Source organism: Homo sapiens, chromosome 3 (genome assembly GCF_000001405.40).
Source record: "Homo sapiens chromosome 3, GRCh38.p14 Primary Assembly".
In the NCBI taxonomy this organism is placed as follows: domain Eukaryota; kingdom Metazoa; phylum Chordata; class Mammalia; order Primates; family Hominidae; genus Homo; species Homo sapiens.
Window position 1 is genome coordinate 57,096,558 of NC_000003.12, and position 12,627 is coordinate 57,109,184.

At 45.0% G+C, this 12,627-nt stretch overlaps 1 protein-coding gene across 5 annotated transcripts in view, besides 1 other annotated feature; it reads right to left on the minus strand.

The window, feature by feature from the left end:
- The window catches only part of IL17RD (interleukin 17 receptor D), an 80,336-nt gene that overhangs the window by 6,576 nt on the left and 61,133 nt on the right, over positions 1–12,627 (minus strand). For all 5 annotated transcript variants that reach the window (NM_001318864.2, NM_017563.5, XM_047448369.1 and 2 more), the window contains 7 exons: positions 9,553–9,597; positions 9,300–9,451; positions 7,785–7,850; positions 6,534–6,588; positions 5,922–6,032; positions 4,622–4,806; positions 1,039–1,981 (listed from right to left, as the gene is read on the minus strand). In NM_001318864.2, coding sequence (NP_001305793.1) covers positions 1,039–1,981; positions 4,622–4,806; positions 5,922–6,032; positions 6,534–6,588; positions 7,785–7,850; positions 9,300–9,451; positions 9,553–9,597 — 1,557 coding nt within the window. The remainder of the gene's footprint in view (positions 1–1,038; positions 1,982–4,621; positions 4,807–5,921; positions 6,033–6,533; positions 6,589–7,784; positions 7,851–9,299; positions 9,452–9,552; positions 9,598–12,627) is intronic.
- Positions 659–1,858: an enhancer, noted in NCBI's record as "BRD4-independent group 4 enhancer chr3:57131244-57132443 (GRCh37/hg19 assembly coordinates)". NCBI's record gives its function as "activates an origin of replication core promoter dependent on BRD2, P300/CBP, MED14 and CDK7 cofactors, and independent of BRD4, by STARR-seq in HCT116 cells {active_cell/tissue: HCT116}" and the evidence as "EXISTENCE:reporter gene assay evidence [ECO:0000049][PMID:35650434]".

The window sequence follows — 12,627 nt, forward strand, 5'->3', positions numbered from 1 at the left end:
GGGCAGGTGCTCATGGCAGAATGTGACTGGATCTGGGTTTGGACTATGGGCTCTGTATAAACGAGGCAAGAATCCCAACCAACTCAAGATGGGGCACTCTCATCCTCCTAACAGGTTCTAGTTCCCTTAGTTGAGGAAGGAAGAGATATTTCTTAAAAGTCAAGCGTTTAGGCCGGGCGCAGTGGCTCACGCCTGTAATCCCAGCACTTTGGGAGGCCGAGGTTGAGGGATCACTTGAGGTCAGGAGTTTGAGACCAGCCTGGCCAACATGGTGAAACCCAATCTCTACTAAAGATACAAAAATTTAGCTGGGCATGGTGGCGCATGCTTGTAATCCCAGCTATTCGGGAGGCTGGGCAGAAGAATCGCTTGAACCCAGGAGGCAGAGGTTGCAGTGAGCTGAGATCATGCCATTGCAGCCTGGGCGACAGGGTGAGACTCCATCTCAAAAAAAAAAAAAAAAAGTCAAGGGTTTGTATGCATGACTCCAACTAGTTACAGACATGGTAAGGGACAGCCTGAGATGGCATCTACCTGATGCTCCCTGCAGAAGTAGGCCTTCCTAGAGAGCCCTCATACCTGGGACCCTATGCTGAAGGATAGAAAGAATACTGTACCCATGAATCCCAGACTCAATGAATGTAGCTTTAAAGACAATGGGGGCGGGGGGTGTGAACATTACAGGTCTAAAAAAGACGCATCCACAAACTGTTACCCAAGACCCTTGGGGCCCAATGTGTTTTCGTGTCTGATGTTTTTGGAGTTTAGAAAAGTGATACAGTGCATAGTCTGTATGTGGCACAACACCCCTTGCAGGGTCTGGGCAGCTCACTATAATTTAGCATTAGTATTTCTGCAACTCAAACATGTGAGTACTCCCATCACCTGGTATAAATCAAGACTACCAAACGAGCTGTGTTCTCATCAGGTTTCATTGCCCAATAAGTTGGCACCAAAAGTGGAAAAACGCTTTGACTGATTTCAGAAGCATGGTCAAAGGCTGCGGCCTGTTAGGACCCGGCCCCAAAGGCACCTTACCCAGGCCTGAAGAGGAGGACACGCTCTCCGTCAGGGAAGACGTTTCTGTCTGGTCCGTCGAGAGTCCTTCCATCAGTGGCAGAGACAGCTCGGATGAGGGCACAGACGAGTCATAGATGCCTGAGTCCCGCGGCATGTCCGAGGGGCTGCCGGCTTTCACCGTGTGCAGCAGGGGTTGCAGGGCGGCGCTACCGTCAAGGGCAGGCCGGGCCTCCCCGTCTTGGTCCAGGCCCCCATGCTGACTCTCGTGCTGGGAGTCGGCTGGTCCGGTTGCCCCAAGAACAGCCGCCTCTACCTTTAGGCAGAAGTCACTCTCAGGCCCTGGTTTGCACATGACATCATTTAAAACCAAGCCCGAATCAAATTTCTCCAAGACTGGCTCCCGGTAGCGCAGTGGAGGAGGATGGAAGGGAACGAACTGCTTTTCGAACCAGTCGGGCTCCTCGTCAATAAACTGGTGCATGTTGCAAATGGCGACGTATAGGGACCGGCCTGACTTGCTCCGGAAGTAGTTCCTTCTGCTGCCCTGTCGCGTGTGCTGCCCCGGCTCCTGGAGGCCGTGGTCTCGGGAGTGCAAGTGGGAACAGAGCTGAGGAAGATTGTCCATGAGTCTGTACTTGGTACTCAGGTCTAGGATACCGGGGACGTCTCCCTCGCAGGAATAATCAAAGTAGACGGCGATAAACTTGCTGAGCGCCGCGGACGAACTCTGCTTGGCCTGGCGGAGCTTTTCGGCAATGGCTGACACCGCCACCAGGAAGAGCTCTCCTTTCCCCGAGCCTCGGCCACCTCCTTTGTGTTTGTAGTTCTTCTTGTCCACAAAGTACTTCATACCTTTGGAACAAACCACAATGATGAACTGGGACTCGTGGATCTTCTGGATGACCCATTCTCTCTGCCCTTCTCTACAGAGGCTGAAGTCTTCCCACAGGTCCAGAGCCACCTGGAAAGAGAACAAGGCACCTCACCCATACAGAAGGCTCGGGAAGAGGCTCGGGAAGTGAGTAACAGGAAGGGAAATGTCAGAAGGAGGCCATCTCATCTGCCCCTTAACCCTTATTAGCACAGCTATGTGCAGGCTCCAGGTTACACCATACCAAGGAACAGCTAAAGTTCCGTGGGTGATGGTCACACCCTAGTCCCTCTGCAAAAACTTGCCATCCATCCATTTTTGTATCACATGGAGTCATTACCACTCCTGCCCTACAAGTGAGGGGACAGAAGCGCAGTGCTTTTGGCACCTTGCCCAAGTCACACCCTACATAGGATATCCTCAAGGAAGCAACAGGTGGTAGAGAGCACAGGACAGAGAAACTGAGGTTGGTTGATCTGGTGAGTGAGGTGCCTAGATTGGAGGGGCAGATTCTGGAGAGAAGGCTGGCAGGCTCTGAGAGGAGGATGTGGATGAGTGACTCCAAAGTGAGCTGGGAGATGGGGCTCAGGCCTGGATGCCAGTCACCCACAATTATAGGTGACTCACATCCAGACAGTGACTGACAAAGGGGACCTATCTCGACACTCTCATAGCCTCAGGCTCACCTATGTTGTTTACTAGTTGGTCCATGGCTGGAGAGGAGGCTAGTGAACTGCATTAACATGGTCATTCTGAGTAACTCACTCAGGACTGGCTAGCACCTTCCTCTATGGCTTCACACAGGTATACAAGGCTACATCTCTACAAGGCTGGTAATTGACAAAGCTTTACCCCCAAAGGCGGTCTGGTAGAGAGACTGTGGGCGTGGCTGACAAAGGAGAGAAAAATCAGACATGTGTGGCCCCTTAGAGGACTTCACCTTCTCAGACCACTTTTACCTAATTCTACCAGAAACATCTCTTGGTTATTGTGTTGATGTCTTTCCTTCTGTAGTTATTAATTCCCAATGGCTATGACGAAACACAGCAGCCACACTATCTTACAGGGAAGGGCATTCTGAAACGACTTTGTTCTCCTCTTCTGCTCTAAGATGTTACCAATGGGGAAAAAGCCCCAACATCCATCCACTTGCTGAAAATAACCCTGAATTGTCTTATACTTTCCTTAATTCTTGTTAACATTACACATGCTAAAAGCTCAGTGGGAGTATATACCAAGCATTTTTTAAATGTTTCTATCTTTGACCCAGCAATTCCATTTCCAGGCATCTTTCTTGGGAAATCATCACAAATGGGACAATATTGAACCACTGAGATGTTTAATATTTGTATTAACTCAGTTATGGCAAATCAATATGGAGGATCATGTAGCTATTTAAAATTGCAGTTGACATATAACTACTAATAGTGTAAAAAATTATTAAGAGACTGCAAAAAATCATTTCAATCAGCCCCAAAGGCAAAACTGTACGTGTGAGTTCACCTATATGGAAAAAGACTGGAAGGAAATAAACCACACATGAAATATGAGTTCCTCTTTCTAAGATTTTCCTTAATCAGTTTGGGATTCCAGACAATGTTTTATTTATCATCCTTTTCTAGTTCCAAATTTTCTACAATAACTATTACACTAATAACTGGAAGAGCGTTTTCCCCAGAGGCTAAATACTTGTGAAGTAGAGCAAACTTGGTTGCCCGTGGTATCTGAAAACTGTGTGCCATTGGCTAGAGTGTAGTTATTTTTCAGCACGTGCTGATCCACCAACCTCACGCTTTCATGCAGAGGGAAACTAGGCTAGCGTAGTATGTTATGTTGACACTAGGGGGCAGCCTCACCACATGGAGAGATTCTGAAAAACATGCCAATGGGCAGTTTCAAAGCAAAAACAACTTCCAATCACACAGTTATTGTACAGTTCTTGCATTTTCAAGAAACAGGGTATGTCTTGCATGAGAGTTTCAGACTTCACTCTAAAAATGTACATTCTGACATTATAGAAAAGCATATTAATAAGATATTAATAACTCAAGAGAACAGCTAAGAAACCAGAGCAGATCATTTCAGTGCTTGACAAAATATTGTTTTCTGGGAGTGCTCCCTTCCTACCTCCCTGTTCTCTCTGGCCAGTGCCGTCTCCTGCATCATGAGTTTCTCCCTGTCTATGATTCCACCAGTCAATGGTCAAACAGCTTCACAGAGCCCTTCGTTTATCACTTCTCCCTGGACCTCAAGATCCCCTCTAATGGCAGCCCCGTCCTTCATTCCCCTTCTCAGCAGAACTCCTCCAAACAATTGTGCGAACTCACTGCTTTACTTGCCACTCTCTCTTTGACTCTCCAAGTGGGGCTTCTGTCCTGAACATGCTCACTAGGATGTCATGAGTGACACCCCTCAACTCCAATTGCATGTTTCCACGGAAGCTACTGGTCTTCTTAATGCTTACAAAACTTCCTGCCAGGTGGGTGCCACTCAAAGCTTTAGAGCAGGAGTTTGTCAGAGTTAGAACTAAGTATTATGAAATATTTAGTGCTGGTGATGGGTAAGACAGACTGAAAAAAGAGTGCGAGACTATCCCCAGTTTGAAAGCTGTGGCACTAGTCAAGGGCAGGTGTCACCACAGGAGGCCCAGAAGAGAGGAGAAGGCAGCGGGGAGAGAGTACAGGGCAAGTGTCCTGGCCAGGGTAGGAGAAGGAACTTTAGATTCCGCACCTCACAGCCACAGAAGTCCTGGAGGAAGTAGGCGAAACACTGGACGACATTCATGTGATTCTGGCCATCTTTACTGGAATAGCAGAGAAAGACCTTCGGCCGCGGCCGGAGCCTCTCTCTTGGGAGTGCTGCAGTGTATGTGGAAGACTCAGAGCTCTCTTCATCTAAATGTGAATATATATTTTCTAAATTGGAAAAGAAGATAAGGTTGATACTTGCAAGCAACGCTTTGTTCTATTTCCTAAGAATTGAAACCCAGTGCTATCTTCAAGAAAGAACACGTCTACCTAGAGCAGTCCCATTCCCCAACTCCATCAGCCCCCTCTGATCATCACTTGGAATGGGACAGCTGATTTCCGCAGTGGAGCAACGAATGGTCAAAAATTGTTCTTTACCTGAAATTGATCTTGGATAAACTAAGAAATGCTGCAGGGGTCACCCTGGTTAGCAGAGCGCTACCTTAGTTAGCAGAGTGCCCAGAACTGGCTCTTGCAGCCAAGTGCACCTAGTAGACCAATTAAGCACAGGCAGAGCTGATTTTTTTTAAAAGTTTTTATCGATGTAAAATTTACAAAAGTAAAGTACATAAATCTTAAGTGTACATCTCAGTGAATTTTTATGGAAGTATATAACTGTGTAATCCTCACCCAGACCAAGCTATGGATCATTTCCAACTCCTCAGAAGGCTGTCTCATGGTGACTTTTGTAAATGACCAAGCCCTACCTATATCCTTACTTATACTTCAGGCTTCCTTTATGACCCTGAATTTACTCTCCTATCATTGAAAATAGAATTATGGGCCAGATGCAGTGTCTCATGCCTGTAATCCCAGCATGAGAGGGAGGCTGAGGCAGGAGGAATGCTTGAGCTTAGGAGTTCAAGACCAGCCTAGGCAACATAGTGAGACCCCATGACTACAAAAAAAATTTTTTTTTAAAATTAGCCAGGCATGGTGGTGCATGCCTGTAGTCCCCAGCTACCTCAGGGGGCTGAAGTGGGAGGATGGCCTAAGCCTGGGAAGTCGAGCCTGCAGTGAGCTATGACTGTGCCACTGCACTCTAGCCTGGGCAACAGAGCGAGACCCTGTCCCAAGAAACAGATATATAATGATACCTGTTTTTTTTAGTGGCTCCTGAGGTTAAAAGCCAAATATTTTAATTCTGGGAACTGAATAGTAGGAGCTATGAGGCTTCCCAGGCGCCATCCTGGAGGACCCAGGTACTCCCAGTCTCTCTTTCTCTTGGCAGCACCCCCTGGCCTGCCCCTTGTTGTGGGGAGACACAGCACACAAAGAGATACCTTGTTGCTTCTTGCGGCACATCACAGTGAAGAGCGTCGCGAATGCCGATATGACTACCAGTGGCACTGTGATGGCCACGGCTCTGATGGGCCCGGCCCACGGGGAGTGCACTGGGAAATTTCAAAGGGAAAGTTTTTAAACTTAAGCAGTGTAAAGGTTCAAAGAGAAACAACTTTTTTTCTTTTTAAACATAAGCCGCATAACAGGTTCTAGGACCATGCAACCACCTTTCTCTAGTGTGGTTTGGTGATTTAAAAAGGATTCAAAGGTTCATATTTAAAGAGTTGCAAAGAACAATTCAACAGTTAAGAGTCAGGCTGGGACATAAAATACCTTTGAGTGAGAATTTTGCCTAAGGAAATCTCCCCTCCCACCACTTTTCTTCAGAGGACAATTGACTATTTATCTAGTCCGAGCTACACACACCAAACTGGCTTTAATCTTCCAGGTTATAAACATTAGAATGGAAGAAAAGTCAGATTTGATGGAACATCATTTAAGAGAGAGGAGCCAAATTTTGTTTTGTTTCTGTAAATCATGAAGTACAGAGAGTATCACATACCTTGGTCTATAGTAGTCTAGAGCCAAATTTCAAACAAAAAAGCACCTACCTGGCTTTAAGGCATAATGCATCACTTTTCTTGTTGTGTTAGTGTCATCCACCAGCTGCAAAACAGAGGATGCTGCATTATTTTTTTTTAAAGTGATATATACCAGGTAAGTGGAAAAAAATGGTAATTTCATTCATCTTTTCCATCAGTGGGCAGTGCGGGAAGGGGTGGGAAGCAAGCAGTGGAGAATGGCTGAGTTTTGGAAAAGAATGGCTGAGACTAGGCATCATGTGTACTCAGGTTCATCTCTGCTTTACCAACTCGAAACTCTAAGTTCATCATGTTTTCTTTTATTAATCAAAAGGCTGTGTATTCATTGAAGAAGTCAGCTGGTGAGTCCCACGTTCTAATAATGCTCAATTAAACTGGCATCCTTCCACTGATTTTACTGGGCCTCCATTAATGCTTTAAGAAGGTGTATCAGTCAAAAACCACACACTGCTTCCAAGGAGTGCAAGAACTAGGTGTTTCTACCAAAATGTTAAGACATGTTGGTTGTCTTTGAATGGTGGCACTATGGACAAATTGTTAATTTCCTTTTCTATTTTCCTTATACTCTTATTATTTGTAGTACCAATTTGATACAGGAAAAGGTAATCTTAAAAAGGAAATGAAACATTACTTTTTTTTTTGAGAGGGAGTTTCACTCTTTCACCCAGGCTGGAGTGCAGTGGCGCAATTTCAGCTCACTGCAACCTCCACCTTCCAGTTTCAAGTGATGCTCCTGCCTCAGCCTCCTGAGTAGCTGGGATTACAGGCGCCCACCACCACGCCCAGCTAATTTTTGTATTTTTAGAAGAGACGGGGTTTCACTGAAACATTACATTTACATGTTCTTTGAAGTGGTGTTTAGAATTCATTTATACATACATAGAAGAATAGCAACAGAAACTTAGAGAAGTATAGGCAAAATGGGCATAACTTATTTTGCTGTTTTCATACTAAAACAAAAAAAATTTAAGCTAAAATCTTAAAAATATATCTTTGTAGTATTAAGGAATACTAGAGATTTTAAACCATGGTTATATATGGACCATATGATTACATAAAAATATTTGTTTGAAATATTTAATGAAGAGATCAAAAATCAATTATATATAAACTTTTTTTAAAAGCATGTTAAGAACCATATAAAAATATAACTGTGCACACCTTCAATAGCTTGAAATTTTAGTGTTGTAAACAGTTGGAATTCTATATGAACTGGGTTCATTCTATAGCATTAATAGGGCTTTCTTGTGTTATGCATACCTCAATTATATAATCCCCTGGAGAAACATTTTGAAGGAGGCAGCTGGTCGTCTCTGTAGTTTGCTCCTGCAACAGACCAAAGAACACTTTAAAAACTCACTTCTTGGGCAAAGGTCTTCAGGACACCTCTTCTCCCCCAGAGCTGAAGGAGACTTGCCACCAGTCTCAACCACAGTTTTCAGAAAATGTGATTAGATCGAAAAGCAACTGTGTTTATCTGCCACATGTTATCTGAACTTCCCTTTGATAAAAGGCCCAGGACAGCCCAGGACCCTTGCCATAGTCTATGCTTAGCTGGTGGCACCCTCAGCAGGAATATTTGATTTGAAGACAAAGAAACTGGTTTGAACAACCTTTACTTAATAAAAGGGTGAGGAAAGAAATTACCAGTCTGTGTTTATACATATTTTATTTGCCATAATTTTAACATGAGCAGGAGGTCAAAGACCTTGATAGAGATGAGAGCCAGCAAGGAGAGCAAACTATGACAGAACCTGACATACACAGGAGCATGTCTAAGGAGGTACTGGGCTTTGCCACCACGACCAAAAACTTTCTTGGTATCCACAGAGGCAATCAGACAGTCCTGTGAACATCCATGAAACGGTTTCCACTCTTCTGACCACTCCCAGTTTAAAGGCTGGGTTACTTAGTTTCTATTTAACCTTGGCCTATTTGTAAAATCAGTAGCCACTGAGTTATCAGTGGCTTGGCTCCTAGATCTGATTTTTCCACTTACTAGCTGTGCGGCCTTGAGCAAGCCAGGTGACATCCCTGAGCCTCAGCTTTCTCATCTGTAAAATGGGGATGACAGCAGCCTCTGTTTCATAGAGTGGTATGGATTCAAGGAGCATAAAGCTCAGGGCCTGCCACACAAGAGAGCACATGATGAATGCTGAAAATATAAAAGGACAGGCCAGGTGTGGTGGCTCAGGCCTGTAATCCCAGCACTTTGGGAGGCCAAGGTGGGTAGATCACTTGAGGTCAGGAGTCTAAGACCAGCCTGGGCAACATGGTGAACCCCGTCTCTACTAAAAATACAAAAATTAGTTGGGTGTGGTGGCATGCGCCTATAATCCTAGCTACTCCAGAGGCTGAGGCAGGAGAATCGTTTGAACCCAGGAGGCGGAGGCTGCAGCGAGCCAAGATCACACCACTGCACTCCAGCCTGGGCAACAGAGCAAGACTCCATCTCAAAAAAAAAAAAAAAAATATATATATATATATATTTGTTCATACATATATATGAACAAATGAGAAATACTTCTTGTTTATTCCTTGGCAATACTGTTACCAGGCTATATCACCACCAGGACAGCTGGGTTACAGATAACTAGGGAATGAAGGACAGTGGCAAGATGGCCCTGAGACATGCCCAATGATTACATTCTCAAGTATCTACCAACCACTGAGAGCCAACAAAGCCTAATGCTCACATTGAGCAACCCAAATTCCAGTGGCCTGGGGGTCGCTTTGAAACACGCAGTGTTCCTTTATATACACCCAGCAGCTCACCTGCTTACAGGTCTTTCGCTTGAAAGGTCCTTCGTGCTTGAGCTTGTAGTGAAGATAGAAGAAACGGAAGCCGAAGTTGTGCGGTGCATGGTCGAAGGACACCTGCATGTCCGAGCCATGCTGGCTGATGTTCAGGTTCCGAGGCTTCCAGACTGGAAGAAGGTAGGACCCAGAGTGAGCAACCAGAGGCTACCCTAACACCATCATAGTGGCGATACTTTGAGACTTGATAGATAAGAACACTATTACTTACAGGGTTTACAAGCTAGATTGTCCGGCTGTAACAACAGGTCACAGGCTATTAAGAGAATAAAGATACATGTTTTTAGTTTTAGGACAGTTAGACATTTTCCTCTCCCAACAACCCAATGAAATATAAAGATACTGTGCCGGGTGATGCTAGAAAAGGTATAAAATACATCAATTCAATGAGGATTTTCACTACTGTGCAGTTGTATCTTATGAAAATTTAAATGGTATAATATAAAAATATTAATGCAGTTCACTTTATGCCACATAAATGGTAACAATGTAAAGTCACCCAGATTTTAAAAGCTTGTCAGGCATTACATAATTTCAAGGCTGGTAGCCAAGGGCAGCAGAGCTATGTTCATGCTACAGTCACATGGAGGCTCTGTTTCAGCTGTAAACAGAAATGATGCTGGCCCCTACCCCACTGTGGAGATGTTTAGACACAAGAGAACTTTGGAGTGGTCCTGGTAACTGCTGCAGGATTATTTTAACCTTCACTAGTATTCTAATTTAAGATGCTTTTGATGGTTTCTTGAAATTACATGCAGGCATATAAGTAGTAGTGTCAGCACTGAAAACCAGGTACCAAAGCCAATAGCTTTGAAACAGAATCTAAACGCAATAAAAACACAATGAGAGAGGCCAAACAGCTAGTCCACTGTGCCATGCTGCTTGCTAACCCAGGGAGAGTCTCCATATAATGCCAAGAAAACTGAAGGCAGCATCAAAACCACAGTGCACTGAAATGGTTATAAATGTTTGCATTCCAGGAACACACCCCCTGCCTCCACCTTACCCCCAAAAAGATACATTGATTCTATGCCAACGGGAAAAATTCATCTTAAATTACACTAATTTTGATTTAGGTGAGGCTTTCATAAACACATTCTTTGAATCTTCTATCTGGTTATTATGTGCAAGTCATCTAGAGATGATGTGACATACACATGGTCTTTGCCGTATGGAATTTTATTTTAAGAATTATGAGGGCCGGGCGCGGTGGCTCATGCCTGTAATCCCAGCACTTTGGGAGGCTGAGGCGGGTGGATCATGAGATCAGGAGATCAAGACCATCCTGGCTAACATGGTGAAACCCCGTTTCTACTAAAAATACAAAAAAATTAGCTGGACATGGTGGCGGGCACCTGTAGTCCCAGCTACTCAGGAGGCTGAGTCAGGAGAATGGCGTGAACCCCGGAGGCGGAGCTTGCAGTGAGCCGAGATCATGCCACTGCACTCCAGCCTGGGCGACAGAGCGAAACTCCATCTCGAAAAAAAAAAAAAAAATTATGAAATCAATTGTTAAAATAACTGCTGCGTAGAAAACAACCACAATAAGAATTCTGCAGAGGGAAACATTGATGTAGGCTGGAGTTGTGAACAGAAACATCACAATGGATGAGGGCTGCAACCAGACCTCACAGGAGGGGATGTTGGACAGGACTGACCATCCAAGGCCTTGAATGACAGAAAGACTGATCAGGAAGGCAAGAAGGAGCTGCTGCCTGTTCCAGGGCGACCAGCCACCAAAGTTTGAAAGCAGCAACTCAGGAAGATTAAAGAGATAACCTGTACAGAACAGAAGGTGAACAGACCCAGCACAGTGGGTGGTTGAGTTCAGAGCATGGATTCCAGAGTCAGACTTCTGGGGTTCAAATCCAACTCCCGGCAAGCCCTTCACCTTCTCTGTGTGGGATTCGGCATCTAGTAAGTGGGGATGGTACGACTAAATTCTTTGTAGGGTTGTCACAGAGGGTATTTGGAGTTAATATTTGGAATGCCTTTAGAACAGGGCCTGGCACATGGACATTAAATAAACAGAACTTTCTAGAAAATAATTTTCTTAATCTAGTCCTGAAAATGACAGGCCACCCTCCTGATAACAGGTAAAAGATGGAATCATTTCATGCTCCTACCTTTACCACAAAATCAACTTACACTTTTTATTCCTTTTTTTTTTTTTCTTTTTGAGATGGAGTCTTGCTCTGTGGCCCAGGCTGGAGTGCAGCGGCATGATCTCAGCTCACTGCAACCTCCGCCTCCCGAGTTCAAGTGATTCTCCTGCCTCAGCCTCCTGAGAAGCTGAGATTACAGGCACATGCCACCACACCCGGCTAATTTTTGTATTTTTAGTAGAGACAGGGACCATGTTGACCAGGTTGGTCTCGAACTCCTGACTTCGTGATCTGCCTGCCTCGGCCTCCCAAATTGCTGGGATTACAAGCATGAGCCACTGCCCCAGGCCAGCTGTCTTTTTTAACTAGAAATGGGGTCTTGCTATGTTGCCCAGGCTGGCCTCAAACTCCTAGGCTCAAGCAATCCTCCTGCCTCAGGATTACAGGCATGAGCCACCGAGCCAGGCCAATTTTTTTTCTTTAATCTAATCGTTTTGATACATGGCTTTTTTTTTTTTTTTTTTTTTTTTTAGATGGAGGTTTGCTCTTTCACCCAGGCTGGAGTACAGTGGCTTGATCTCAGCTCACTGCAACCTCCACCTCCTGGGTTCAAGCAATTTTCCTGTCGCAGCCTCCTGAGTAGCTGGGACTACAGGCGCACACCATGACGCCCGGCTAATTTTTGTATTTTTAGTACAGACGGGGTTTCACCATATTTTTCAGGCTGGTCTCGAACTACTGACCTCAGGTGATTCACCCATCTTGGCCTCCCAAAGTGTTGGGATTACAGGCATGAGCCACCGCGCCTGGCCATCTGTCTTTTTTAACTAGAAATGGGGTCTTGCTATGTTGCCCAGGCTAGCCTCAAACTCGTGGGCTCAAGTGATCCTGCTGCCTCAGCATCCCAAATAGCCGAGAGCATAGGCATGTGCTGTGCCTGGTAATGCAGACTGTCTTAGCGGTGGTCACAGCACCCTCAAAAATATCAACTGTCAGGTCTGTTCTAGAACAAGCCAGGAGTGGGTCTATCCGGTTAGATGAGCAGTGTCTATACCTAACCTTAATTCTAAAAAGTGTTTTTCTGGATGCTTTTCTCCTTGCCATGCTTGTTTCATACCAGTATTTGGCATGTTTTTTGTTTGTTTGTTTGTTTGTTTCCCCCTGAGATGGAATCTTGCTCT